General features: G+C 57.6%; 1 protein-coding gene across 5 annotated transcripts, besides 11 other annotated features; it reads right to left on the reverse strand.

Annotated features, from left to right (window-relative positions):
* Positions 1-26,720, reverse strand: PPP1R12C (protein phosphatase 1 regulatory subunit 12C). Of its 5 annotated transcripts, none has more exons than NM_001271618.2 (22): positions 26,306-26,720; positions 21,748-21,878; positions 21,550-21,668; positions 12,492-12,651; positions 8,034-8,178; positions 7,867-7,941; positions 5,345-5,418; positions 5,134-5,261; positions 4,950-5,023; positions 4,528-4,683; positions 4,374-4,441; positions 3,744-3,881; positions 3,428-3,518; positions 2,236-2,316; positions 2,099-2,159; positions 1,866-1,948; positions 1,705-1,745; positions 1,525-1,627; positions 1,305-1,409; positions 942-992; positions 733-783; positions 1-641 (listed from the first exon to the last, which is right to left on the reverse strand). In NM_001271618.2, the coding sequence occupies exons 1-22, from the start codon at positions 26,624-26,626 to the stop codon at positions 555-557; spliced, it is 2,343 nt and encodes a 780-aa protein (NP_001258547.1). In that variant the 5' UTR covers positions 26,627-26,720; the 3' UTR covers positions 1-554. The 5 variants fall into 5 exon arrangements, 4 of the variants coding, with proteins under 4 accessions (NP_001258547.1, XP_011525347.1, XP_005259070.1 ...); XM_011527045.3 differs by having other exon boundaries at positions 1,866-1,951; XM_005259013.5 differs by having other exon boundaries at positions 4,528-4,686.
* Positions 22,270-22,399: an enhancer, noted in NCBI's record as "active region_15072". NCBI's record gives its function as "activates an Ori minimal core promoter by ATAC-STARR-seq in GM12878 lymphoblastoid cells {active_cell/tissue: GM12878}" and the evidence as "EXISTENCE:reporter gene assay evidence [ECO:0000049][PMID:35858748]".
* Positions 22,270-22,937: a biological region, named in NCBI's record as "H3K27ac-H3K4me1 hESC enhancer GRCh37_chr19:55624596-55625222".
* Positions 22,311-22,937: an enhancer, noted in NCBI's record as "H3K27ac-H3K4me1 hESC enhancer chr19:55624596-55625222 (GRCh37/hg19 assembly coordinates)". NCBI's record gives its function as "activates a minimal SCP1, AML or CMV promoter by ChIP-STARR-seq in naive H9 embryonic stem cells {active_cell/tissue: H9 hESC(naive)}" and the evidence as "EXISTENCE:reporter gene assay evidence [ECO:0000049][PMID:30033119]".
* Positions 22,938-23,564: an enhancer, noted in NCBI's record as "H3K27ac-H3K4me1 hESC enhancer chr19:55625223-55625849 (GRCh37/hg19 assembly coordinates)". NCBI's record gives its function as "activates a minimal SCP1, AML or CMV promoter by ChIP-STARR-seq in naive H9 embryonic stem cells {active_cell/tissue: H9 hESC(naive)}" and the evidence as "EXISTENCE:reporter gene assay evidence [ECO:0000049][PMID:30033119]".
* Positions 25,116-25,951: an enhancer, noted in NCBI's record as "H3K4me1 hESC enhancer chr19:55627401-55628236 (GRCh37/hg19 assembly coordinates)". NCBI's record gives its function as "activates a minimal SCP1, AML or CMV promoter by ChIP-STARR-seq in naive H9 embryonic stem cells {active_cell/tissue: H9 hESC(naive)}" and the evidence as "EXISTENCE:reporter gene assay evidence [ECO:0000049][PMID:30033119]".
* Positions 25,306-25,355: an enhancer, noted in NCBI's record as "active region_15073". NCBI's record gives its function as "activates an Ori minimal core promoter by ATAC-STARR-seq in GM12878 lymphoblastoid cells {active_cell/tissue: GM12878}" and the evidence as "EXISTENCE:reporter gene assay evidence [ECO:0000049][PMID:35858748]".
* Positions 25,756-25,835: an enhancer, noted in NCBI's record as "active region_15074". NCBI's record gives its function as "activates an Ori minimal core promoter by ATAC-STARR-seq in GM12878 lymphoblastoid cells {active_cell/tissue: GM12878}" and the evidence as "EXISTENCE:reporter gene assay evidence [ECO:0000049][PMID:35858748]".
* Positions 26,266-26,365: a silencer, noted in NCBI's record as "silent region_11013". NCBI's record gives its function as "represses an Ori minimal core promoter by ATAC-STARR-seq in GM12878 lymphoblastoid cells {active_cell/tissue: GM12878}" and the evidence as "EXISTENCE:reporter gene assay evidence [ECO:0000049][PMID:35858748]".
* Positions 26,386-26,465: a silencer, noted in NCBI's record as "silent region_11014". NCBI's record gives its function as "represses an Ori minimal core promoter by ATAC-STARR-seq in GM12878 lymphoblastoid cells {active_cell/tissue: GM12878}" and the evidence as "EXISTENCE:reporter gene assay evidence [ECO:0000049][PMID:35858748]".
* Positions 26,656-26,735: a silencer, noted in NCBI's record as "silent region_11015". NCBI's record gives its function as "represses an Ori minimal core promoter by ATAC-STARR-seq in GM12878 lymphoblastoid cells {active_cell/tissue: GM12878}" and the evidence as "EXISTENCE:reporter gene assay evidence [ECO:0000049][PMID:35858748]".
* Positions 26,796-27,075: an enhancer, noted in NCBI's record as "active region_15075". NCBI's record gives its function as "activates an Ori minimal core promoter by ATAC-STARR-seq in GM12878 lymphoblastoid cells {active_cell/tissue: GM12878}" and the evidence as "EXISTENCE:reporter gene assay evidence [ECO:0000049][PMID:35858748]".

The raw sequence follows: 27,911 nt of genomic DNA on the forward strand, positions 1-27,911 counted from the left end.
TGGCAACTTCACGACTTTTATTTGTGGTGCCTGTGCTTTATCTCGAAAATACCTTCTCCCCCTGCCCCAGACAGTGGGCGGGGAGGGGGCAGCAAAAAATAGAAGACGTCCCTCCCTATTGCACATGGACCCTATATACAGGCCCACCTGGCTGAGGCTGGCGGGACTCTTGGCACATTCTTGGATCCCTGCTCAGGAGGGGAGGGGTGACGGGGTGGCATCACACGTGAGATGGGGACCTCCAGGCGGCCACTCTGGTCCTGGCTACTGATCCTTGCACTTCTTGGTCCTCAGTTCCTTCCTGGTCCCGTCTCTGGCCCTGGTCCCCTCTGGCAACGTCCCCCTGCTTGGCTCGGCCTCCCACCTCCATCCTGGCCTCGGGTGGCCCCCTCGGCTCCTGGGGACTCTGCTCCCCTCCCAGTCCGGAGGTCCCAGGGGGGCTATGGCTTCTCTGAGACTTCCCCCGGAGCCCTGTCACTCGTGTTCACACGGGGGAAGGGGTGCGTGTGGCAGAAGCAGCTGTATAAATACGGGTGCGGGAAAGTCCCTCCGGGTCACTTGGAGAGTTTGCTGATGACGCGGATCAACGCTGCATTCTCATCCTTGAGGCGCTGGTTGTCAGCGCGGAGGTCAGACAGGGCCTGGGGGACGGCAAGGGTCAGCTGGGCAGCCCTGGCGGGTTGCACCCCCACCCACCCTCGGCCCTCTGCCCACAGCCCCCACAGCCCCCACCTTCAGCTCCTCCTCCAGCTCTGCGGCCTTGCGTTCCAGGGCCCTGCGCTCCTGGAATGAACAGGGAAAGTGCAGAAACTGAGTGAGGCTGAGGAGGGCAGGGGAAGGCCAGGGGCCAGCTGGGAAGGGCAATGTGGCTCCCTTGGTCCAAACTTAGGGATGTGAGGCTGGGGACGCCTCTGGCCCCCATCCCCACTGCCCCTACTCACGAATCTCTCCAGTTCCAGGAGGGCTGGCCTCTCAGCGAAGCGTTCTTGCCTCTGGTGAGGACACAGAAAGCACAGGGGTCAGCAGAAGAAGCCAGCACTGCTCTGAAGGGTCCTAGGCTCCTGCTGGGCACCCGCCCGCCCACTAGGCAGCCCACAAGCCCTTCCCCCACGGGCCAGGCCCCGCCACCGGCAGGCCCACAGCCCCATCCCCTCGCTCAGACTCCGCCTCCGAGATCTCGGCCCCGCCCCTCAAGTGAAGCCCAGCCCCGCCGGCACCCCCAGGCCAGGCTCTACCTCCCAGCAGTCTAAGCCCCACCCAGGCGGCCCTGCCAGTTCCCGTGACCCTGGCCTCGGCGCCCTTACCTGCGTGGCCCGCTCCAGCTCCACCTTGAGCTGCGCCAGCCGCAGCGTGGTCTCGGTCAGGGCCTCGCGAAGCCGCTCGTTCTCCCTGCGCAGCTCTGCATACAGCTGGGGGTCAGGTAGAGGAGGGTCAGGTGGAGGATGGGGCGATGCTGGGGGGGCGGGGAAGCCAGGAAGCTGGGCACCCAGCAGGCAAAGCCCCGACGGAGGGGTGGGATCGCACCGTCCTAAAGCCTCCGTCTGGCTCTTCCGATTCTGGCTCAGGTTCTGGGTTGAGGTCCCGCTGCCACCGCTGCCTGCGGGCCGAGGGGCCGCCCTCCAGGGTGCTGGGGCAGGGGAGGAGCGCGCGTCAGGGGCCGGCCCGGCCCGCACGCAGACCCCACCTCTCCCACCCCGCCCCTACCTGGACTCCTGGCTGCGGTCAGCCGGCTCCGCCTCCTCCCCCTGTGGGCAGGTAGACGGGGGTTCAATGGGTATGGGAGGGACTTTAGCGGGTATGGGAAGGGCTTTGCCCGCCCCCCGGCCCACCCTCTGCACCAGCTCGGCCCCACCTGAGCCCCTCACCTCCGCAGGCCCCCTCCACTCCTTTCCGACCTTGCGGTGCTCCCTGGCCGCCTGCGGTCCCGGACCCTGCCCGTCGGGCGCCTCTGCTGGGGGAGGGGCAGGAATCAGCCCAGGCACCTCCAGAGCCCCCTCTCGGTGCCTGGGTCCCCGGGTCAAGCCCCCAGGAAAGCAAGAAGACTATGGGAGAAACTGGATGATTCCCTGGGAATGACCTCCCCGAGAGCAGACCTCACCTCTCTGGGCAGGGCTGTCAGAGTTCTCCACTCCAGGGACGCGGGGCCTTCGGGAAGGGTCCTGTCGGGAGGGGGAGGCGAGTCAGGGAAGCAGGACATCCCGCACCACCCCACTCGCCCTCGCTGACCCCTCTCACCAGGCTCTGCGCCGGCTTCTCTGACTCTGGGGCCTTCCCTGCAGCCTTCTCTGCCTCCTTCAGGTCTGTAAGAGTCACACCCTGGCAGGGAAAGGGGACAGTCAGGGGACGCTGGGGTCAGGGCCCAGCCCCTCCTCCCTCAGACCCAGGAGCCCAGGCCCCAGCCCCTCCTCCCTCAGACCCAGGAGCCCAGACCCCAGCCCCTCCTCCCTCAGACCCAGGAGTCCAGACCTCCAGCCCCTCCTCCCTCAGACCCAGGAGTCCAGGCCCCAGCCCCTCCTCCCTCAGACCCAGGAGTCCAGACCTCCAGCCCCTCCTCCCTCAGACCCAGGAGTCCAGGCCCCAGCCCCTCCTCCCTCAGACCCAGGAGTCCAGACCTCCAGCCCCTCCTCCCTCAGACCCAGGAGCCCAGGCCCCAGCCCCTCCTCCCTCAGACCCAGGAGTCCAGACCTCCAGCCCCTCCTCCCTCAGACCCAGGAGCCCAGACCCCAGCCCCTCCTCCCTCAGACCCAGGAGCCCAGGCCCCAGCCCCTCCTCCCTCAGACCCAGGAGCCCAGACCCCAGCCCCTCCTCCCTCAGACCCAGGAGCCCAGGCCCCAGCCCCTCCTCCCTCAGACCCAGGAGCCCAGACCCCAGCCCCTCCTCCCTCAGACCCAGGAGTCCAGGCCCCAGCCCCTCCTCCCTCAGACCCAGGAGTCCAGACCTCCAGCCCCTCCTCCCTCAGACCCAGGAGCCCAGACCCCAGCCCCTCCTCCCTCAGACCCAGGAGTCCAGGCCCCAGCCCCTCCTCCCTCAGACCCAGGAGCCCAGGCCCCAGCCCCTCCTCCCTCAGACCCAGGAGTCCAGGCCCCAGCCCCTCCTCCCTCAGACCCAGGAGTCCAGACCTCCAGCCCCTCCTCCCTCAGACCCAGGAGTCCAGGCCCCAGCCCCTCCTCCCTCAGACCCAGGAGCCCAGGCCCCAGCCCCTCCTCCCTCAGACCCAGGAGTCCAGGCCCCAGCCCCTCCTCCCTCAGACCCAGGAGTCCAGACCTCCAGCCCCTCCTCCCTCAGACCCAGGAGTCCAGGCCCCAGCCCCTCCTCCCTCAGACCCAGGAATCCAGGCCCCCAGCCCCTCCTCCCTCAGACCCAGGAGTCCAGGCCCCAGCCCCTCCTCCCTCAGACCCAGGAGTCCAGACCCCAGCCCACCCCACACCTGTGTGGACCTCCGAGACTGGCGCATGAGACGGGAGCGAGCTTTTCTCTGGGATTCCGACTCCTCATCCCGCACAGGCATCTGGTAGGACCTGAGGGAAGGGTCCCAACCTCAGACAGGGAACCTGGGGACCCTGTCCCATTCCGTGGCTGACACCCTCCGCGGGAAGCAAGTTCTGTGGGAGGGGACTCCAACTCCCAGCAGACCTGAGGCCAGCTCTCCCTCAGGAGCCCACCCAAAGCCCCGGGACTCCTGCTTCACATCGTCTCTCCCTGCTGGGGGCGGGGGCGGCAGCTTCCTGCCCTGGCCTCTTCACCTCCGTCGGTCCCGGGAGTCCGCTGGGGGCGCCGTGGAGGCTGTGGGGACGTTTGGCTTCGCTGGGGATTCAGGCTCCGGAATCCTGGAGGGAGGCGAGGAGTTCTCCAAGCAAGGAGGAGGCTTGGTGACCTCAGACCTGCATCAATTCATTCATTCCACAAACATTACCCAGGTGCATTGTGTGCCGGCACTGGAGATGCAGCCGTGAGTGAAAGAAACAAATTATCTGGGCCACAACAGAGTCAGAGCTGAGCAGAAATACACAAAACCCACAAAAGCCATGAAAAGACCAGCACACTACGCAACCGGTCAGAAGGATAAAGGACTCTGGACAGAAGCAGCAGTGCGAGAACTGAGAGCGGGAGGGTGTGCGTGTGCGGACGGCGCCGTGGTGGCAGCAGGGTGGTCAGTGTGCACCTCGGGGTGGGGGGAAGATAGGGGAGAAGGTGACGTTTCAACACAGACCTGAGGGAGGGAGAGAGCCCCCAAGAGGAACACAGCACAGGCTCTGGAGTGGCGGCAGGAACCAGACCCCAGGGGGTACATGGTCTCACTCAGGATCACACGGACAGGCTTGGAACCCACATCTGCCACCCACCCCTGAGGGGCCCAGGCCCTGGGGACTCACAGGACAGAGGGCTCCGGCAGCTTCGGGGAGGGGGTCGGGGTAATTCTGGCAAGACGGAGCTCCTTGGCCTGTGTGGAGAGGAGAAGGGGAGGAAGGGGCAGTTCCCTCGACTGGGCAGGGGCCTGGGCCTGGACCCGGCCCAACCCTCACTCACCTGAGTGGAGGTCCCTTCCAGCCAGGAGGAGGAAGCCGAGCGCTGCAGCCCAGCCCCAGGGGCTCCCTCCGCTGTCCGCCTTTCAGGGGGACCCAGGGCACCAGAACTCCCTGTCTTCAGGAGGCCAAAGCGCCTGGAGAAGGGGGCCTCTTCAAGCTGCTGGGAGAAGGAGGAGGTCTCAGTTAGAGAGAAAGGATCCCTCTTCTCAGACCTCAAGGGTTAGCCCCCAAAGGACTGCAACAAACTACAATTCCCATCAGCCCCCGGGGCAGGCACAGCCTAAAAAGGAAGCCGGTTGTCCAGGACGACTCTGGGAACTATAGTCTTCCCCCTATCTGCCCCTGCCAGAGGTTCACAGGCTGTATGGAATCCCACCTCCGGGCCCTCCCAGCCTCACAGGACCTCTCAGGGCATCCACTCACCACGGGACTCTTAGGGCTGGGGTGCGGCGGGGAGGAGACGCCATTGAGGGTTCTGGGTTCTGCAGGGGGTGGTTCTGTGATGTGGGAACACCGGGCAGGTCACAGAAGATGCCAGTTGCCTCTAGATTCAGAGAACCCGACCCCTCCTCCCTCGGACCCAGGAGTCCAGATTCAGGCCCCTCACCGGTGGGACCTTCTTCCCCCTCATCCTCGTCCTGGATGGGGGGCCCCCCAGCCCCACCAGGCCGGCGCTCCTTGGACAAGTCCTGGAGGGAAATCTTCTCGCGACTGCTCAGACGACACACAGAGCTCCTGTTGGGGAAGGAGAGGGTGCTGGGGTACAAGCCCGGGGCCTCCAGCCACCCCGCCAGCCCTGGACTCCTCCCTCCCTATACCTTCTGTGTTTGCTGCTAGAGGGCGCTTGGGGCTCCTGGCCCCGGCTCTGGGAAGCTTCTTTTTGGTTCCGAAGCTGCAAGGAGGGAAGGGGGCTGCAGGGGAGGGGTGGAGCACACGTGCCCCACAGCAACACCACCACAAACAGCTGTGCAGGAGCTCACTGCCCAGGCGGGCACCGAGGGCTCGTGGGCTTACTGGTTTTCCTACAGATGGCCACACACCTCAGGGGCAGGAGGTGCCCTGCGTCCAGCAGGCGCCCGCAGCTGCCACGTGCAGGCACTGCCGTCTTGTCCTCACGGCCCCCACCCATGAGAAGCCTCCAGTCTCATCCCCAGAGGGGTCCTTCTAGCTCCCAGGGGAGACCTGCTTAGACCTCACCCCGACCCCTCAGCATACCCAGGGCACTGGTGGGCCCTCAGCTGCCCCGGCTCCTGCAGCCGGCACTCGCCTCCTCCTTCCCCGCGCAGTTCACCACCGTCTTCACACCTTCCCCGCAGTTCACCACCGTCTTCGCCCCTTCCCCGCGCAGTTCACCACCGTCTTCACCCCTTCCCCGCGCAGTTCACCACCGTCTTCGCCCCTTCCCCGCGCAGTTCACCACCGTCTTCGCCCCTTCCCCGCAGTTCACCACCGTCTTCGCCCCTTCCCCGCAGTTCACCACCGTCTTCGCCCCTTCCCTGCAGTTCACCACTGTCTTCGCCCCTTCCCCGCGCAGTTCACCACCGTCTTCGCCCCTTCCCCGCGCAGTTCACCACCGTCTTCGCCCCTTCTCCGCGCAGTTCACCACCGTCTTCACCCCTTCCCCGCAGTTCACCACCGTCTTCACCCCTACCCCGCGCAGTTCGCAGTTCACCACCGTCTTCACCCCTTCCCCACGCAGTTCACCACCGTCTTCACCCCTTCCCTGCAGTTCACCACCGTCTTCACCCCTTCTCCGCGCAGTTCACCACCGTCTTCACACCTTCCCCGCGCAGTTCACCACCGTCTTCACCCCTACCCCGCGCAGTTCGCAGTTCACCACCGTCTTCACCCCTTCCCCACGCAGTTCACCACCGTCTTCACCCCTTCCCTGCAGTTCACCACCGTCTTCGCCCCTTCCCCGCAGTTCACCGTCTTCACCCCTTCCCTGCAGTTCACCACCGTCTTCACCCCTTCCCCGCAGTTCACCACCGTCTTCGCCCCTTCTCCGCGCAGTTCACCACCGTCTTCACACCTTCCCCGCGCAGTTCACCACCGTCTTCACCCCTACCCCGCACAGTTCGCAGTTCACCACCGTCTTCGCCCCTTCCCCACGCAGTTCACCACCGTCTTCACCCCTTCCCCGCGCAGTTCACCACCGTCTTCGCCCCTTCCCCGCGCAGTTCACCACCGTCTTCACCCCTTCCCCGCAGTTCACCACCGTCTTCGCCCCTTCCCCGCGCAGTTCACCACCGTCTTCACACCTTTGTACTGGGAGGGCCCTTCATTCCTGCCCTTCTAGCAAACTCTTAGTGCTGTAGTACTCACGTCTTCCAGAAAGTGTCCCCAGATGCTCCCAGGCTGGTCTCCCCCCATATCTGGGCCCCCTGAGCTGACCCTGCCCCACCTATTAAACCCCTCATGGCCGTATCACCCTCAGGATGGAAGCCACCATGCTCCTCGCCTGGCACTCGTGGCCCTCCCGGGTCTGCCCTGCCTTACGCTCCCCTCCCTGGGCACCTCAGGGCACCCACACTTGCCCCCCAGCCTGTGTGAGATCTTCTCCTACATCCATCAGCCTCCACTTCGCTCCTGCCAACCTTTCAAAAGAGGAAGCTGTCTCCGCTCCCCTGCCCACGCACCAGAAGCCCTAGGCCTGGCCTTGGGAGCTTCCTGTCACCTCACAGAGCTCACTGAACGCTGGCATGGCTCTAGTGCTTTCCAGGGGCACGTACTCCCCCGAGCTCCTGACAGCACAATCCACGTGTCACGCATGACCCCTCATACAGTTGCGCACCATACCATTCCCATTTGACAGATAAGGAAACTGAGGCCCGGAAAGGAAAGTGGCTGGCTGAGACTCACGGCAGATCCATGGCAGAGCCGGGATTCCAACCCAGGCAGTCTGGCCAAGGCTCACGCCCTTCACTCCTTCACTCTAAGTTTTCCCAGCAAGGCTGCCCCGGGGATGGCTGGGGGACACCTTGTGGGTGACCAGCCCAGCCTGAGTCTAGGACAATCCTGCACATGGCTGCTGCCAAGGGCCACCCTGAGGTGATGAGGTGTGCTAAGCAACCTCATCAGGGTGTCAGACAACCCTGTCCAAATCCTTCTGCCGCCCCCACCACCAGGCAGGCAGGAAGCTCTGCAGCCCCATCTCTGTCCTGCCCCGGCTGGGGGTCTCTCCTGAGGCTGGGGCTGGGGCTGGGTCACCAAGAGGGAAATAGCAGGTCGCTGGGGTGGTGGGTGTCAGAAGTCGGGGGGGTTCCCCCTCTGCACCCTCCTCTGAGGAGCTGAGGGGACATGGGGAGTCTGGGGTAAGCCCCTCAGCCCTGACACTCACGTCCTCCTGTTTCCGGGCCAGTTCCTCCAACAGGCTCAGTACTTCCTCATCGGCCAGGTCACAGGGACGCTGCCCCTGGGTCAGGGGAGGAGCAGGATCAGACAATGAAGGAGGTGCTGGGCCCTCCCCACGCCCTGCCCCTCACCAGCCTGGGCACTGGCCCTCACCGCATGGGTCAGTGAGTCCATGCCCCCGCCATGCTCGGCCAGCAGGCGGCAGGCATCCTCCACGCCCCAGTGTGCCGCTGCGTGCAGGGGAGTCCAGCCGTCCCCGTCCCGGAGCTCTGGGTCGTAGCCAGCCTGAAGGAGCAACCTGGGGGCCAGGGAGGCTCAGGGTCAGAGGCCAAGGCGGGGCCCTTGGCCGAGGGCTGATTTCGGCCAGCGGTTTGGTAACGAGGTCCCAGGCCACGAGACTGAAACGTCCCTGGACAGGCTGGTAAAGAGCCACTGCCCAGCATCCGCTGCCACAAGAGGCCCCTCTGCACCAGGCCTTGTCCCTCCCCTTGGACCAGCAGTTACATGTTAAACCCTGACCCTGCAGGTGGCCTCTGGAACCTGCTCCTGGTGCTGGCAGGGGGTCACCCTGGCTGTGGGATTCCAAGGTGGCAGCAGCGGGGTGTAAGGAGGCAGCTCCGGAGGATGCAAGTGCAGGACCCTTGCCAGCCCCCATGCCTGTCAGAAGGATGGGACCCCCAAAGGGCTGTCTCAGGGCAGTAGTGCTCTAGGACCCGGGCTGGCTTAAAGCAGTGACTCCCAACCAGGGCAATGCTGTCCCCCAGGGGAGACCCGGCAGGTCTGCAGACATCTTTGTTGTCATAACTTAGGGCAAGGGTTAGCGGCATCGGCTGGGTGGAGGCCAGGGAGGCTGCTCCACACCCGGCTGCGCTCAGAGCGCTCAGCAGCAGCCCCACAAGGAGAGGGACCTGACCCAACATGCTGCCAGCGCCCAGGCTGAGAAACCCTCACCCGAGACAGTGTTCTGCGAGAAAACAATAACCACCTTAAACCATTCAATCTGAGGGCAAAGGCAGGGTTACAAGTCCAAGGCCACTCTCCAAGCTCAGCTTAACGGTAGGACGTGTCTATTTTTGGAGAACTGGAATGAGTTTCTGTGTCAATGAGAAAGAGCTTCACAAAGTGGGAACAGATGGACAGCCTGGGATATTCTACAAAGAGGCCTTATAAGCACAAGTCCCTCTCTCTGGTCCCGCCCACCTTGCCCTTCACCTTTCCCACGCTTTGCCCGGAGCTCACCCTGCCCCAGCTGTGCTGGGCCCTCGCTATTTCCCCAAGCGTCCGCTCGCCGCTGGCCTCTGCACTTGCTGCTCTCAGCCGGGCAGTGTTCTGTGCCCTGCAGCATCTCACGCTGAGCCCCTTTTTGGCAGTCACCACCCCCTCATCCCCCTGTCTCCTGACCCCAAAGCCCCTCCTCATCACACTTGTCTTCTCCCATAACCCTATTTATATCTTAAGCCAGCAGTTCTCAACTGGGGCAATGCTGCCCCCCAGGGGACATTTGGCCACGTCCAGAGACATTTTTGGTTCTCACAACCAGGGATGCTCCCAACATCCCATAGGTGGAGGCCAGGGAGGCTGCCCCACATCCTGTGATGCATGGGACGGCCCCGCAGCAAGAGCGATCAGCCCAAAATGTCTGTCTCCCCACGAGGCTATGAGCCGCACACAGGCCCAGATCTGTCTTGTTTACCCATTTCCCTGGCACCTAACAGACTGCCTGGCACACAGCAGGGGCTCAAAAATAAGCATCGAATGAGTATCATCAAATAAACATATACCTCTACTCTGCAACAAATGTTTTTTTGTTTTGTTTTGGTTTGGTTTTGTTTTGAGACGGAGTCTCACACTGTCACCCAGGCTGGAGTGCAGTGGCACGATCTCCACTGACTGCAACCTCTGCCTCCTGGATTCAAGCAATTCTCCTGCCTCAGCCTTCCAGGTAGCTGGGATTACAGGCGCCTGCCACCATGCCCAGCTAATTTTTTGTATTTTTAATAGCGACGGGGTTTCACTGTGTTAGCCAGGCTGGTCTTGAACTCCTGACCTCATGATCCGCCTGCCTCGACCTCCCAAAGTGCTGGGATTACAGGCGTGATCCACCACGCCCAGCCTGCAACAGATCTTTGATGAGGAGAATGCTGGTTACATTATTTTAAAAATGCAGTCAGGCTAGGCACAGTGGCTCATGCCTATAATCCAGCACTCTGGGAGGCTGAGGCGGGCAGATCACTTGAGGTCAAGAGTTCGAGACCAGCCTGGCCAACGTGGCAAAACCTGTCTCTACTACAAACACAAAAATTAGCCGGGCATGGTGGAGCACACCTGTAATCACAGCTACTCAGGAGGTTGAGGCAGGAGAATTGCTTGAACCCAGGGGACAGAGGTTGCAGTGAGCTGAGACCGCGCCACTGCACTCCAGCCTGGCAACAGAGCGAGACTCCATCTCAAAAGTAAAAATAAAATAAAAAATGCAGTCAGTAGGTCTGAGTGTAAACATGTCCCCTTACAAAGGAGCAGCAATGACACTATAGTCATGAATATTTCTAAGTCCAAAGTGCTTCACTTCCACGAATATGGATTCCATTTCTCCCTCTACTAACAGTACCCACACAGGCCCCCTGGCCGGACACAGGCCACCCAGCTGAAGACAAATCTCCAACTGTTCCTTGCAGCGAGGAGCGGTCATGTGACTAGCGTCTGGCAAATGGGATGCTGGCGTTAAGTGGTGCCGCTTGCGGACTGCTCTTTTGAAAGGAATGGATGTTTGCTCCTTTGCCCCCTCTCTCTTCCTGCTGGCTGGTATGCAGGTGCAGTGGCAGGAGATGAAGCCGCCCCCAGGACTCAGGGGTGGAAGCCGTGGGAGGAAAAGGACACGGCCTCCAGGCCTGGGCACATCACTAGGCCCAACCATTTAGAGTTTCCAGTCCCCCTTGTCGTAAGGATCAGCTCAGGGATGGGCCCAGTCAGCAACAGAGCTGGGACTTGGCCAGACACTGAGGTCCAGGGGCTCTGCTTCAGCAGGTGCTAAGCAGAAGGGACAGCGGTCTGGAGCTGTTACGGGTGCTAGGCCGAAGGGACAGCGGCCTGGAGCTGTTACAGGTGCTAAGCCGAAGGGACAGCGGCCTGGAGCGGTTAGAGGCATCTTATGTACCTCACCGAGAAAACCTGACTAAAAACTGTCAACATAGAGATGAGCAGAGACAGGGAGGAATTCATGTTAACTTCATTTTTATACTAAATAATAAAGTATATGATCACAAAAGAGAGAAGAGGGAACTGAAAAAAGAATGAGGAGCCTGAGGATGAGAACTGGAACCAACAACTTTAATAGAAAGGGGAAAGGCAGCCAAATAGGAACAAAATCTAAGACTGAGGTGAGGATGACAGAAAGGGAATGTGTACTAGAACAATTTAAACTATATATGCACCTTGGTTGGGTGCAGTGGCTCACGCCTGTAACCCCAGCATTTTGGAAGACTGAGGCAGGGAGATTACCTGAGGTCAGGAGTTCAAGAGCAACCTGGCCAACATGGAGAAACCCCATCTCTGCTAGAAATACGAGTTAGCCAAGTGTGGTGGCACACTCTCATAGTCACAGCTCCTGGGGAGGCTGAGGCAGGAGAATTCCTTGAACCCAGGAGGTGGAGGTTGCAGTGAGCTATGATCACACCACTGCACTCCAGCCTAGGTGACAGAGCGAGACTCCGTCTCAAAAACAAACAAAAATAAACTATATATGCACCAAATAATCTAGTCTTAAAATATATACAAATTGTAACTGACAGAACTATAAGAAGAAACAAAGTCCATAATCACAGCAAGAATTTAAATGCACCTCTCATAGTAACTGACAGAATAAGCAGTGGGTGAAATATCACTAAAGATAAAGAAGCACTACAAATAAAACAGCATGATTACAAGGTTGACCTAATAACCTACAGAGAACACTGTACCTGATGACACCATTCTTTTCCGACTTACATGTACTGGGGTATATAAGGTAAAACGATACATTTCAAAAGCTAGAATCATATGGAACCCATTCTCTGACCACAATGCAATTAAGCCAGGAAAATAGTAACAAAATGATGACTAGAAGTCCTATATATTTTGAAATTAGGCCAAGCACAGTGGCTTACACCTGTAATCCCAGCACTTTGGGAGGCTGAGGTAGGAGGATCACTTGAGCCCAGGAGTTCGAGACAAGCCTGGGCCACATGGTGAAACCCCATCTCTACAAAAATTAGCGGGGCATGGTGGTGTGCGCCTGTAGTCCCCACTATTCAGGAGGCTGAGGTAGGAGGATCACCTGAGCCTGGGGAGTTTGAGGCTGCAGTGAGCCACGACTGTGCCACTGCACTCCAGCCTGGGTGACATAGCAAGACCCTGTCTCAAAATAAATAAATAATAAAAGATTACAAATTGGGAAATATTTTACACTGAATGACAATAAAAAAAAGACTGCACATCAAAACTTGTGGGTACAGCTAAGGCTGTATTTAGAGGGAAATACATAGCCTTCGGTACATACATTTAAAAAGAAAGGGAAAGGACAAGATCCACAGGAAGGTATAAGACAGCAAGATGGAACAGACTGGCCCAACTCACCTCATCACCTCAATGTAGCCCTTGGCAGCAGCCACGTGCAGGGCAGAGGCGCCTGTGCGGGGGTGCCGGGCCTCTGGCATGGCGCCCCCATTCAGCCAGCACCTCGTGTCATGAAGGAGCAATTCCTCTTCTGCCCGCTTGGCTGCTTCCACATCCACACCTAGGAGGATAAGAGGCACGAGGTAGGACTCACACCCCATGACCTGAAATACCCAGGGTCATACACTGGGCTGGCCAGGGTTCAGCCCAGTGACTTGCCCAGAGCTCTTCCCCCTGCTCCCCTCTGAGACTCAGGAGGCCCAGACTAGCCCAGTTGTTTCCCAACTGTACTCCATGCAGTCGTGTGTCCCACTCAGGGTCTCTGAGTCAGCGCTAAGCACTGGGAAAACGGAGATCACAGGCCTTTCCCCATTTCAACCAGAAATTCACCGTATTTTTATTATTTTTAATATAAAACCATGGCCGGGTGCAGTGGCTCATGCCTGCAATCCCAGCAACTTTGAGAGGCCAAGGCAGGTGGATCACGAGCTCAGGACTTCAAGACCAGCCTGGCCAACACAGTGAAACCCCATCTCTACTAAAACTACAAAAAAAAAAAAAAAAATTTAGCCAGGTGTGGTGGCAGGTGGCTGTAGTCCCAGCTACTTGGGAGGCTGAGGCAGGAGAATCGCTTGAACCCGGGAGTTGGAGGTTGCAGTGAGCTGAGATCACGCCACTGCACTCCAGCCTGGGCAACACAGTGAGACTCTGTCTAAAAAAAAAAAAAAAAAAGTATATATATATATATATATACACACACACACACATACAAAAATATAAATATAAAAAATATTTATATATATAATATATATATAACATATATATGCATCTCCTATATATATAACACCTATATATACACATTTCCTATATATATAAAACCTATATATATATCTCTCCTATATATGTAACATATATAGACAGAAGTGGTAATGGTGATAAAATGTATGAAGATGCTGGATTAAGATTATATTGGGGGGTGGCACAACGGCTCATGCCTGTAATCCCAACACTTTGGGAGACCAAGGTGGGCAGATCACCTGAGGTCAAGAGTTCGAGACCAGCCTGCCCAACGTGTTGAAACCGTGTCTCTCCTAAAAATACCAAAATTAGCTCAGCATGGTGACTTATGCCTGTAATCCCAGTTACTTGGGAGGCTGAGGCGGAAGGATCTCTTGAATCTTGGAGGCGGAAGTTGCAGTGAGATTGCACCACTGCACTCCAGCCTGGGTGATAGAGTGAGACTCCGTCTCCAAAAAAAAAAAAAATTATATTGGTAGTGACAGGAAAAGTTAGATGTAATTGAGCACTGGATTTGCTCAGTAAACTTTAGGCCATATATATATATATATGGTCTCGCTCTGTCACCCAGGCTGGAGTGCAGTGGCATGATCTTGGCTCACTGCAACTTCTGCCTCCCAGGTTCAAGCGGTTCTCCTGCCTCAGCTTCTTGAGTAGCTGGGATTACAGGCACACGCCACCACACCCAGCTAACTTTTGTATTTTTAATAGAGATGGGGTTTCATCATGTTGGCCAGGCTGGTCTTGAACTCCTGACCTCATGATCCACCCGCCTCGGCCTCCCAAAGTGCTGAAATTACAGGCAGGAGCCACCGCATCTGACCCTTTTTTTTTTTTTGAGACAGGACCTCACACTGTCACCCAGGCTGGAGTACAGTGGTGCAATTATGGCTCACTGAAGCCTCAAATTCCCAGGCTCAAGGGATCCTCCTGCCTTGGCCTCCCAAAGCCGGCATGAGCCACCACACCTGGCTGTGTCATTTCTTTAAAGGAGTCACCAACTGTTCAATCCTATTATAGCCGAATGGGTCTCAATTCAGGGAGGGGAAGGGAGGGTGACTGGCTTTTTATTCAACCACAGTCAGCGCCCTCTGCATGTCTGCTGCACATCCTTCTGCAATTTGCTTCTTGTGTTCAACATGTTGCTGAGATCTGTCTGTATCTGTAGACAGAGCCCTTGCCCAGGGGTCAGAAAGCTATAGCTTGTGGGTGTTGACCACCTGTTGTGTTTTCTTTATCTTTTGTTGTGGTGGTGGTGGTAAAATAAACAACATAAAATTTACCAACTTCCCTGTTTTAAAGTGCACAATTCAGTGGCATTTAGGATACCTCCAATATTATGCAACCATCACCACTATCTACTTCCTGAGCTTTTTCATGATCCCAAATGGATACTGTATCCAAGAAGAAGTCACTCCCAGCCAGGCACCATGGCTCATGCCTGTAATCCCAGTACTTTGGGAGGCCAAGATGGGAGATCACTTGAGCCCACTAGTTTGAGAACAGCCTGAGCAACATAGGGAGACCTTGTCTCTAGAAAAATAAAATTAGCTGGGCATGGTGGTGCACACCTATGGTCTCAGCTACTTGGGAGGCTGAGATGGAAGGATCACTTGGGCCCACGAGGTCAAGGCTGCAGTGAGCCATTATCACTCCACCGCACTCCAGCCTGGGAGGCAGCGTGAGATCCTGTCTTAAAAAAAAAAAAAAAGTCACTTCTCAGACCTCCCTCTCCGCCAGCCCCTTGCACCCAGCAATCTTTCTGTCCCTGTGGATTTGCCTATTCTGAAAGGCGATTTTTGTCAATAAACGTGGGATGGAACAGTCATTCCCATTCATTCACACACCATCCCTAGCAGTCTCCCGCTCCACAGCACTAGTGGAATAGTGGTGCCAGGCATGGTGTGTCCCGCAACACCTGAAACATTCATTGTCTAGCCCTTTACAGAGAAAGTTTGCTGACCCCTGCTTAGATCACTCATTTAGAGTTTAGTGATTGATCCATCCTCTTTGGTGTGGGCTCCGACCTCTTACTACTGCAAACAATACTATGATGAACATCTGCCCATGGTTGGGAAGGCCTCTCTCGGGCTGCCCAGGAGTGGAACTGCTAGAACAAGGCAAAGCTGGGGCCTTCGGCTATAATCCATGCTGACCAACCACTTCCCAAAGTAGCTGGAATCATCACCTTTCCCACCAGGCAGAAATCAGCTCCCGTGTCCGCCCTTGTCAGCACTTGGAGCTATCCAATGGTCGATTCCGCCTGCCTCCAAGGGTAACTCCCCCTCTTCCAGCTGACTTGGATGCTGGAATTCCAAGTGAGCTGGCTTCAAATGTTTCAAAAACACATCATGTCTTCTTCCTGCCAGTTCCATGCCCCTGTGCAAAGTGGCCAGGGAGGGTCCCTTCTGCACAGGACATGGTGCTGCTGCGTGTCCCTGCAGCACAGCTGCTGCTTGGGCCTACGAAAATCCATTCTCCCTTCCCCTGTGACCTCATCTTGACTTTCCTCACCCACACTTTGCCCCATATGGTTTCAATGTGACCGGGCCCATAGCCTGGCTCCAGGGTGCGCACATCACCAGGCCTTCCTGTCACCTTTGCAACAGTGATGGGCTCAGGAGCTGCCATCTGACCAAGGTGGCCCAGTGAGCATCACGCACAGGGCAAGAGGTGCTGTGTTTTGGCTGTGATATGGGCCTGCAGTAGGACCCATGCTGAGTGCCTCACGGAGAGAACCTGTCTAAGAGTGAAGCCAACAGAGTTCAGCAGAGTGATAGAGAGATGCTCTGGACTTCACTTGTGCCCCTGGATCAAGCTATGCCTAGAGCCCATATGGACTTCAGCTACATAAGGCCATAGACTGCCTTTAAAAAAAAAAAATGTGACCAGGCACGGTGACTCACGCCTGTAATCCCAGCACTTTGGGGGGCCGAGACGGGTGGATCAGCTGAGGTCAGGAGTTCAAAACCAACCTGGCCAACATGGTGAAACCCCATCTCTACTAAAAATACAAAAATTAGCTGGGCATGGTGGCGGGTGCTTGTAATCCCACTTACTTGGAAGGCTGAGGCAGGAGACTTGCTTGAACCCGGGAGGCAGAGGTTGCAGTGAGTCAAGACCATGCCACTGCACTCCAGCCTGGGCAACAAGAGTGAAACTCCATTGCTGCTGTTTTTCACAATAGCAAAGACTTGGAACCAACCCAAATGTCCATCAATGATAGACTGGATTAAGAAAGTGTGGCACATATACACCATGGAATACTATGCAGCCATAAAAAAGGATGAATTCATGTCCTTTGTAGGGACATGGATGAAGCTGGAAACCATCACTCAGCAAACTATCGCAAGGACAGAAAACCAAACACTGCATGTTGTCACTCATAGGTGGGAAATGAACAATGAGAACACTTGGACACAGGAAGGGGAACATCACACACTGGGGCCTGTCGTGGGGTGGGGGGAGGGACAGCATTAGGAGATATACCTAATGTAAATGACGAGTTAATGGGTGCAGCACACCAACATGGCACATGTATACATATGTAACAAACCTGCATGTTGTACACATGTACCATAGAACTTAAAGTATAAATTAAAAAAATAAAAAATAAAAATAAAAATAAAGAAACTCCATCTCAGAGTGAAAAAAATGTGGTAAAATACACACAGTATAAAATTTACCATCTTTTTTTTTTTTTTTTGAGATGCTGAGTCTTGCTCTGTTGCCCAGGCTGGAGTGCAGTGGTGAGATCTCGGCTCACTGCAACCTCCATCTCCTGGGTTCAAGCAATTCTCCTGCCTCAGCCTCCCGAGTAGCTGGGACTATAGGTGTACATCGCTATGCCCGGCTAACTTTTATATTTTCAGCAGAGACGGGGTTTCACCATGTTGGCCAGGCTGGTCTCAAACTCCTGACCTCAGGTGATCTGCCCACCTCGGCCTCCCAAAGTGCTGGATTACAGGCCTGAGCCACCGCGCCCAGCCTAAAATTTACCATTTTAACCCCAATTCAGTGGCATTAAGTAGTCACAATTGGTTGTTGTGCAACCAATCTCCAGAATTTTTTCATCTTGCAAAATTAAAATCGTGTACCCTAGGTCAGGGACAATGGCTCACACCTGCAATCCCAGCACTTTAGGAGGCCAAGGTGGGTGGATCACTTGAGCTCAAGAGTTCCAGACTAGCTTGGGCAACGTGGTGAAACCCCGTCTCCACAAAAAATATAAAAATCATTTTAAAAAATGTGTACCCACTAAACTACTTCCTATTCTCCCCACTCCTCCCAGTCCCTGACTACAGCCATTCTACTGTCTGTCTCCATTATTTTGACTATTCTGGGTACCTCACAGACGTGGAATCAGACAGTAATTGTCCTTCTGTGACTGGCTTATTTTCACTTTTCACTTAGCATAATGTCCTCAAGATACATCTACATTGTGTGTTTTTTGTTTTGTCTTGTTTTGTTTTTTGTTTTGAGACACAGTTTCCTCTTGTTGCTCAGGCTAGAGTGCAGTGGCACGATCTTGGCTCACCACAACCTCCACCTCCCAGGTTCGAGTGATTCTCCCGCCTCAGCCTCCTGAGCAGCTGAGGTTACAGGGATGTGCCACCACCCCTGGCTAATTTTGTATTTTTAGTAGAGACAGAGTTTCTCCATGTTGGTCAGGTTGGCCTCAAACTCCCGACCTCAGGTGATCCGCCCGCCTCGGCCTCCCTAAGTGCTGGGATGAAGACTGAATCATGTCCCACCGCATGGATGGGCCACATGTTGATTTTCCATTCATTCGATGATGGGCACTAGGTTGCTCCTACCTCTGGGCTATTGTGAACGATGCTATGAACACGGGTATATAAATTGCCTTTTTTGTTTTGGTTTATTTGGTTGAGACAGGGTCTTGCCCCCAGGCTGGAGTGACCGTGGTTCACTGCATCTTCCACCTCCCAGGCTCAAGCAATCTTCTCACCTCAGCCTACTGAGTAGCTGGGAGCGTACGTGCATTCCCACGCCTGGCTAATGTGTTTTGTTTTATAGAGATGGGTTCTCACTAGGTTTCCCAGGCTGGTCTCAAACTCCTGGGCTCAAGAGATCCTCCCATCTTGGCCTCCCAAAGTGCTGGGCTTACAGGTCTGAGCCACTGTGCCAGGCCTCAAATGGCCTTTTCCGGCCTGAGCCAGGAGGAACGGGTTTTGGTTCTTGCAAAGAGTCATGCCCGATTCAGCCCCTGAGTCGACTGGGCCAGAGGACTTTGCGGTGTTGGAGGGAGCGGTGGCTCCAGGCCACGAGGTGACTGGCTGAGCAGATCACGTGCTCTCACTGAACCCCAGACCCAGAGAGAGGAAAACAGCAAGTAAGCCAGGGAAAGCGAAGGGGATGGTCGTGCCTGAGGCCGGTCTGTCTTCTCTCCCAGCCCTGCCTGTGAGTGGCTGCCAGGGCCACACTATGGCCAGAGCCAGTCTGGATGCCAGCACCTCGGGGAATTCTGCATCATGTGGGCGTGTCCTGCAGGGGGTGCAAAAGACCCGCCCTCCTTAGAGCTGGGGTGCAGCCTGTGATCCAGGTCCTGCGCACTGCAGCCCCTCTGAGGCTCCTGTGTGGAGCCGGGTGTCACAGGGTGTCACAGGCAGTCGCCTTGTGATTTGGGGCCGCAGAGTCCCACCCCGAGCAGCACGGCTGAGGGTCTTTCCAGTGGCCCCAGTGGTCTTCGTTCCTGGCTGATCCTACAAGCCAATATCCCCCACCAATGTATCCCTCCCAGCCTTCTCCTCACCCCACGGGAGGGAAGAAGCATGGCCCCCTCTGAGAAGCTGATGCAAGTTATGAGCAATTTCTGCAGGAAAATACAACGTCAGAAAGTTCACAGACCCCCTGGAGGCCATTCCCGGCCTCCCTGGGGTCCAAGGGAAAAGGAGGACTGATCCAGACAGAGGGAGCCTAAATCACCCAGATCTGGATCCCTAGCTGGGCCCTGAACCAGAGCGGGAGAGGCTACAAAGAATGTCAAGGAGAAACGCAGGCAACAGTGTAGCATCAAGGTTGGTGCAGTGGGTGAGAGTGTAGCATCAAGGTTGGTGCGGTGGGTGAGAGTGTAGCATCAAGGTTGGTGCGGTGGGTGAGAGTGTAGCATCAAGGTTGGTGCGGTGGGTGAGAGTGTAGCATCAAGGTTGGTGCGGTGGGTGAGAGTGTAGCATCAAGGTTGGTGCGGTGGGTGAGAGTGTAGCATCAAGGTCAACACAGGGGGTAGCGTGTTGCATCCCTACTGTGGTTCTGCAGGAGGTTTTCCTTGTGGCAGGAGATACCTGCTGTGCATCAGGCGAAGATGTACAATGCCTGCAACACAGTCTCAGAATGGCCGGGCTCACGCCTGTAATCCCAACACTTTGCGAGGCCGAGGCCAGCAGATCGCCTGAGGTCAGGAGTTGGAGACCAGCCTGGTCAACATGGTGAAACCCCATCTCTATTAAAAATGCAAAATTAGCTGGGCATGCTGGCTCACGCCTGTAATCTCAGCTACCCAGAAGCTGAGGCAGGAGAATCGCTTGAACCCAGGAGGTGGAGGTTGCAGTGAGCCGAAATCATGCCATTGCACTCCAGCCTGGGCAAAAAGTGAAACTCTGTTTCAAAAAAAAAAAAAAGGCTCAGGAATGGAAAGGCAGGGGTGGGGTGGTAAGAAAGGAAGGGAGAGATGGAGGGAAAAAAACAGGAGGAGAAAGGATAGGAAAAAATGTGTTTATGTCTATACCTGGGAAGAGATCGCAAGGGAGGGACAGAGAGAAGGAACACAAATCTATCAAAAAGTTAAAAGCTGATGATTCTATACTGTATGATTCCCTTTATGTGAAGTGTACAAAACAGCAAATCCACAGACAGAAGGCAGAGAGGGCTTCGTGGGGTGGGGGGGAGGGGGGGGTGCATGGTTGGGGGTGATGGCTAAGCGGTTGCAGGGTTTCGTTGGGGGATGATGAAAATGTTCTACAACCAATGTGGTCATAAATGCCCGACCCCGTGAATAGACTAAAAAGCACTGAAGTGTGCACTTTGGGTGAATTGTAGGGTAGGTGAATTACATCTCAAAAAGCTGTCTAAAAAACAAAAACAAAAAAGAAAAAGCACTGGCGAATCTTAGTGAAAGTCATATGGGTAGTCACATGCTATTGCTTCAACTTTTCTGTAAATCTGAAGCTTTCCCAAAATAAAAAGTTGGAGGAGGAAGGAGACAGAATCCAGGTCCAGGGCTGATTTGACCCACTCCCCATTTCAACCAAAGAGGGGCTCCCGAACCTCAGATCTCCGCCGTCACGTGTCCCACTAGCTAGTCCTCCCGCATGGCTCTCGTGGACCCCTGAACCCACGCGGAATCCTATCCTTTCAGCCTGGCCAGCGGCCCCGTCAGGACAGCCGCGTCAGAAGTCTCGGAGGCTGCCGGTATCTCATTTCCTCGTCAGTCTCCCTTTCCTTCCACACGGTCCCCTGGAGTCTGCCGGGAACCATGCTCACACCCTTCCACTCCAACCCAGCCAGACCCTGACAACCACCCCATGAAGCGGCACCAGTGGTCCTGTTTTAGGAAATCAGGGAAGCAAGCTTCAGGGACGTGCCTGGAGTCACCAGTCACAGGCAGAGCTGGGAGGCAAGCCCAGGACTTTAGAAGACATGCTGGGGACCCAGGGATCCTGTGTGGCCATCACACACCTGCTAGAAGCAACACCCCTTCCCTAGAAAAATGAACCTGGCCAGACACAGTTTCAGGGGCTCCTGGACCCCATATGAAGGCTCCTGGGGTACGATGAGTCTCAGAGGACAGGGAGACCAGTCCCTGGCAACCCCTGCATGCCCCTACTCCCCCCCAAGTAAACGCATCCCCTCCCAGAAAGACCTGCGGCAGGGTTCCAGCAATCCTACCTAACGCACTCCTGGGTGAGTCCCTCCACCCACCCACCCCGCCCCGGCATTCCAATCCCCTCAGTTACTCAGGGGGATTGACAGTCCCAGTTGGTAGGGGTTTGAGTTCTCATCCTGTGCGTGTGCTGGGCTCCAAGCAATCCTGGAGGCAGGCCCCTACACCCCCATTTCACAGGTGAGGAAACTGAGGCACAAAGAAAGACAATCCTAGGAAGCAGGGTCAGCCTCGGTGCCCAGGCCGCCTCTAAAGCTCTCAGCCTGGAGACCACGGGTGAGGAGGTGTCCCCCACCCCACACACAGCACACCAGAGCCCACCTCGGCGGGCGATCTCCGCCTTCAGCAGCCCCTCCATGGCGTCCGACTCGGCCAGGTCCAGGGGCAGGTCCCCGTCACTGTTGACGGCGGCGATGTTGGCCCCGTGGCTCAGGAGGTACCTGGGGGTGGGGGCTGGTCAGGGCTGAGGGTCCAGGCCCCCACCCCGACCAGGTCCTGCCCGGCCCTCCCTTGCCTCACCTGGCGATATCTAGGTAGCCACAGGAGGCGGCCACGTGCAGTGGCGTCCAGCCCTCGTTGTCTGCCTGGTTCACAGTGGCGCCCTGCTCCACCAAGAAGCGCACCACCTCCAGGTTCTCATCAATGCAGGCCTGGGGGTGGGAAACAGCCGTCAGCCGCACCTACCCCAGCCACGGTGTCCCAGCAAGTCGGGACTCCAGAGGGAGCCACGAAAACAGATCCAGGGACACGGTGCTAGGACAGTGGGGAAAATGACCCAACAGCCTCTGGCCACTGGCTGTTTAAGATACGCCTGGTTGCCCAGTGGTCAGGCCGGCCAGGCCTTCAGTGCTCAGTGGAAACCACGAAAGGACTCCTGGCTATCTGCAAACAGGAAGTGAACGGGGAAGGGAGGGGGCTTCTCATCTGGGTGCGGGAACCCCACATGGTACCTGTTAGACACGGCAAAACCCCCGTCACCACCCACAGGTGGCGCTTCCAGTGCTCAGACTAGGGAAGAGGTTCCAGCCCCTCCTCCTTCAGAGCCAGGAGTCCTGGCCCCCAGCCCCTCCTGCCTTAAACCCAGCCAGGTCCTTCCAAGGGTCAAGCTCGGAAACCACCCCAGCAGATACTCTGCAGGAACGAAGCCGTGGGCCCAGGGCTATGCAGGGTGGAGGAAGGCCACCCTGTGCTGGGACAGACTCAGGGGCCTGGGCGGGACTCCCAGAGGGGTGAGACAGCTGCACACCTGTGTGCCTGGGCCCCAGGCTGTCACACTCCAGTTCACTGAGGCCCCCTCTGCACGGGGCCCTGCAGCCAGGGGCTGACACGGGCCACCGTTTCTCATTCTTCCCTTAGGGGTCCAAAACTTGGGGGGACAAAAGCCGAAGTCCAGGGGGTCGGAGGAGGGACTTGCCCCAGGCCTTGTGGACACTGGGTGGGCTCCGGGACCTGAACTGGAGCTGAGGAAGGAGTGAAGCTAAACTCCTAGATCCACGGGATAAATTACCCCCCAAGTCCCTCACCTCTCCAAAGCTGCCCATCTGGAGGAGGCGGGAGGGAGCTACGAGGGCCAAGAGCATGAGGTCATGGAAACTCGGGCTGTGAAGGGGCCGCACGTGCCCTGGGAACGGGATGAACTCGGCTCGTTTATTTCCACCCAGTTGTCATGGCGATAGGGGAGGGGGGCAAGGAGAGCAATGGGCCTTTCCCTTTCAAGGACCTGCCCAGTACAGGCATCCCTGTGAAAGATGCCTGAGGCCTGGGCACCAGGGACTCCAGAGTCCAGGCCCAACCCCTCCCCATTCAACCCAGGAGGCCAGGCCCCAGCCCTTCCGCCCTCAGATGAAGGAGTCCAGGCCCCCAGCCTCTCCCCATTCAGACCCAGGGGTCCAGGCCCAGCCCCGCCTCCCTAAGACCCAGAAGTCCAGGCCCCCAGCCCCTCCTCCCTCAGACCCACGAGTCCAGGCCCCAGCCCCTCCTCCCTCGGACCCAGGAGTCCAGGCCCCCAGTCCCTCCACCCTCAGACCCAGGAGTCCAGGCCCCAGCCCCTCCTCCCTCGGACCCAGGAGTCCAGGCCCCAGCCCCTCCTCTCTCAAACCCAGGAGCCCAGGCCCCCAGCTCTTCTCTGTTCAGCCCTAAGAATCCTGGCTCCAGCCCCTCCTACTCTAGCCCCCAACCCCCTAGCCACTAAGGCAATTGGGGTGCAGGAATGGGGGCAGGGTACCAGCCTCACCAAGTGGTTGATAAACCCACGTGGGGTACCCTAAGAACTTGGGAACAGCCACAGCAGGGGGGCGATGCTTGGGGACCTGCCTGGAGAAGGATGCAGGACGAGAAACACAGCCCCAGGTGGAGAAACTGGCCGGGAATCAAGAGTCACCCAGAGACAGTGACCAACCATCCCTGTTTTCCTAGGACTGAGGGTTTCAGTGCTAAAACTAGGCTGTCCTGGGCAAACAGCATAAGCTGGTCACCCCACACCCAGACCTGACCCAAACCCAGCTCCCCTGCTTCTTGGCCACGTAACCTGAGAAGGGAATCCCTCCTCTCTGAACCCCAGCCCACCCCAATGCTCCAGGCCTCCTGGGATACCCCGAAGAGTGAGTTTGCCAAGCAGTCACCCCACAGTTGGAGGAGAATCCACCCAAAAGGCAGCCTGGTAGACAGGGCTGGGGTGGCCTCTCGTGGGGTCCAGGCCAAGTAGGTGGCCTGGGGCCTCTGGGGGATGCAGGGGAAGGGGGATGCAGGGGAACGGGGATGCAGGGGAACGGGGCTCAGTCTGAAGAGCAGAGCCAGGAACCCCTGTAGGGAAGGGGCAGGAGAGCCAGGGGCATGAGATGGTGGACGAGGAAGGGGGACAGGGAAGCCTGAGCGCCTCTCCTGGGCTTGCCAAGGACTCAAACCCAGAAGCCCAGAGCAGGGCCTTAGGGAAGCGGGACCCTGCTCTGGGCGGAGGAATATGTCCCAGATAGCACTGGGGACTCTTTAAGGAAAGAAGGATGGAGAAAGAGAAAGGGAGTAGAGGCGGCCACGACCTGGTGAACACCTAGGACGCACCATTCTCACAAAGGGAGTTTTCCACACGGACACCCCCCTCCTCACCACAGCCCTGCCAGGACGGGGCTGGCTACTGGCCTTATCTCACAGGTAAAACTGACGCACGGAGGAACAATATAAATTGGGGACTAGAAAGGTGAAGAGCCAAAGTTAGAACTCAGGACCAACTTATTCTGATTTTGTTTTTCCAAACTGCTTCTCCTCTTGGGAAGTGTAAGGAAGCTGCAGCACCAGGATCAGTGAAACGCACCAGACGGCCGCGTCAGAGCAGCTCAGGTTCTGGGAGAGGGTAGCGCAGGGTGGCCACTGAGAACCGGGCAGGTCACGCATCCCCCCCTTCCCTCCCACCCCCTGCCAAGCTCTCCCTCCCAGGATCCTCTCTGGCTCCATCGTAAGCAAACCTTAGAGGTTCTGGCAAGGAGAGAGATGGCTCCAGGAAATGGGGGTGTGTCACCAGATAAGGAATCTGCCTAACAGGAGGTGGGGGTTAGACCCAATATCAGGAGACTAGGAAGGAGGAGGCCTAAGGATGGGGCTTTTCTGTCACCAATCCTGTCCCTAGTGGCCCCACTGTGGGGTGGAGGGGACAGATAAAAGTACCCAGAACCAGAGCCACATTAACCGGCCCTGGGAATATAAGGTGGTCCCAGCTCGGGGACACAGGATCCCTGGAGGCAGCAAACATGCTGTCCTGAAGTGGACATAGGGGCCCGGGTTGGAGGAAGAAGACTAGCTGAGCTCTCGGACCCCTGGAAGATGCCATGACAGGGGGCTGGAAGAGCTAGCACAGACTAGAGAGGTAAGGGGGGTAGGGGAGCTGCCCAAATGAAAGGAGTGAGAGGTGACCCGAATCCACAGGAGAACGGGGTGTCCAGGCAAAGAAAGCAAGAGGATGGAGAGGTGGCTAAAGCCAGGGAGACGGGGTACTTTGGGGTTGTCCAGAAAAACGGTGATGATGCAGGCCTACAAGAAGGGGAGGCGGGACGCAAGGGAGACATCCGTCGGAGAAGGCCATCCTAAGAAACGAGAGATGGCACAGGCCCCAGAAGGAGAAGGAAAAGGGAACCCAGCGAGTGAAGACGGCATGGGGTTGGGTGAGGGAGGAGAGATGCCCGGAGAGGACCCAGACACGGGGAGGATCCGCTCAGAGGACATCACGTGGTGCAGCGCCGAGAAGGAAGTGCTCCGGAAAGAGCATCCTTGGGCAGCAACACAGCAGAGAGCAAGGGGAAGAGGGAGTGGAGGAAGACGGAACCTGAAGGAGGCGGCAGGGAAGGATCTGGGCCAGCCGTAGAGGTGACCCAGGCCACAAGCTGCAGACAGAAAGCGGCACAGGCCCAGGGGAGAGAATGCAGGTCAGAGAAAGCAGGACCTGCCTGGGAAGGGGAAACAGTGGGCCAGAGGCGGCGCAGAAGCCAGTAGAGCTCAAAGTGGTCCGGACTCAGGAGAGAGACGGCAGCGTTAGAGGGCAGAGTTCCGGCGGCACAGCAAGGGCACTCGGGGGCGAGAGGAGGGCAGCGCAAAGTGACAATGGCCAGGGCCAGGCAGATAGACCAGACTGAGCTATGGGAGCTGGCTCAGGTTCAGGAGAGGGCAGGGCAGGGAAGGAGACAAAGTCCAGGACCGGCTGGAGGGGCTCAACATCGGAAGAGGGGAAGTCGAGGGAGGGATGGTAAGGAGGACTGCATGGGTCAGCACAGGCTGCCAAAGCCAGGGCCAGTTAAAGCGACTCCAATGCGGAAGAGAGTAGGTCGAAGGGGAATGGTAAGGAGGCCTGGGGCAGAGTGGTCAGCACAGAGTGGCTAAGCCCAGGGCCAGTTGAAGCGGCTCCAATTCGGAAGTGGGGTGGTCGAAGGGGAATGGTAAGGGGGACTGGGACGGGGTGTCAGCATAGGGTGGCAAAGCCCAGGGCCAGGAACGACGGGGCGGATCGAGACTGGCAACGGGGAAGGAGGATGCCCCAGGTGGCGCAGCAGAGGGTGGACCTGGCCCCGGGAGACGCCGGGCGGGGGGCGCTGACCTGGTGCAGGGCGCTGATACCGTCGGCGTTGGTGGAGTCCAGCACGGCGCGGGCGGGCGGCGGCGCGGCGGGGTCGAGCTCGGCGCCGGGGCCAGGGTCGGCGGCGCGCAGCATCAGACGCGCCTCGTCCAGGTCGCCGCCCGCACAGGCCGCCAGGAACTCGGCGGCGCGCTCGAAGCGGACGGTGCGGGCGCGGCGCTCTCCGGGGCCAGGCTCGGCGCCCGCCCGCGCCCCCCACTGCCGCAGCTGCTCCCGTCGCCGCTCCCGGGCAGCCGCCGCCGCCGCCCCCGGGCCAGCCGCCGGGCCATCCTCTCCGGACATCGCACCGCCCGCCCGCCCAGCGAGCGAGCGAGCGCCGAGCCCCAACCGCCGCCACCACCCGCCCGCCCGCCCGCCCCGGGGGCCGCCGGGAACTGCCGCTGGCCCCCCACCGCCCCAAGGATCTCCCGGTCCCCGCCCGGCGTGCTGACGTCACGGCGCTGCCCCAGGGTGTGCTGGGCAGGTCGCGGGGAGCGCTGGGAAATGGAGTCCATTAGCAGAAGTGGCCCTTGGCCACTTCCAGGAGTCGCTGTGCCCCGATGCACACTGGGAAGTCCGCAGCTCCGAGGCGCCCAGTGGAAATCGCCAGATGAGGGCCTCCTCCGGGGAATGCTGGGAAATGGAGTCTACAGGCCGGAGGGGTGCCCCACGGCATACTAGGAAGTGTGTAGCACCGGGTAAAGGGGATGAATAGCAGACTGCCCCGGGGCAGTTAGGAATTCGACTGGACAGCCGCGTGGGAGGGAGTGCGGGGAGAGGCAGAGTTGTTTTGTTATTGTTGTTTTATTTTGTTTTCTTTGTTTTGAGACGGAGTCTCGCTCTGTCGCCACGCTGGAGTTCAGTGGCGCGATATCGGCTCGCTGCAACCTCCGCTTCCCAGGTTCAAGCAATTCTGGCTCAGTCCCCAGAGTAGCTGGGATAACAGGCGCGCGCCACCCCGCCCTGCTAATTTTTATATTTTTAGTAGAGACGGGATTTCACCATGTTGGCCATGATGGTCTTGATCTCTTGACCTCATGATCCGCCCGCCTCGGCCTGTAATCCTGCTGGGATGACGAGCGTAAGCCACCATGCCCAGCTGGGTTTTATTTATTTTGGTTTTTTTCCTGACCCCTTAACTAGAAATAAGCTCCACGAGAGCGGGATCTTTTGTCTTCTGTGCACTACTTGTCCTCGGTTCTTAGAACAGAACCTGAGAGAACCTGATCGCAAATATTTTTGGAATGAATGAATGAATGGGTTCACCAGGGCACCATGGGAAACTGAGTCCGCAACCTAGAAGCCATGAAAGACAGTCCACTTCCAAGCTTCCCTGGGTGACCTCGCAGGGCATGCTGGGAAATGAAATTTGCGGTGAAAAGGTCAGGACCACGATCCTAGGGCACGCTGGGAAATGTAGCCCACAGGGCCACACCCCTAAAAGCACAGTGGGGTGCAAGGCAGGGCCCCAAGGCATTTAGGGCTCGGGGCAAGAGAAATCCACACTCCACTCCCTAATGGTAATCCCTGAGCCACACCGAGTAAAGGAACCCAAGACACAGTGTCCACAGGGACAGGGCTCTCAGAG

Source organism: Homo sapiens, chromosome 19 (assembly GCF_000001405.40).
Source record: "Homo sapiens chromosome 19, GRCh38.p14 Primary Assembly".
Taxonomy (NCBI): domain Eukaryota; kingdom Metazoa; phylum Chordata; class Mammalia; order Primates; family Hominidae; genus Homo; species Homo sapiens.

What these genes read in the sequence shown, in the direction of transcription:
- PPP1R12C (NM_017607.4), bottom strand. Translation starts at nt 26,626, where the DNA reads ATGTCCGGAGAGGATGGCCCGGCGGCTGGCCCGGGGGCGGCGGCGGCG. An exon ending in CTGCCGGAGCCCTCTGTCCT is followed by an intron (nt 3,882 to 4,373) that starts GTGAGTCCCCAG and finishes GAATTGATGCAG; the next exon opens with GTCTGAGGTCACCAAGCCTC. An exon ending in GACCGCAGCCAGGAGTCCAG is followed by an intron (nt 1,628 to 1,704) that starts GTAGGGGCGGGG and finishes CCCCTGCCCCAG; the next exon opens with CACCCTGGAGGGCGGCCCCT.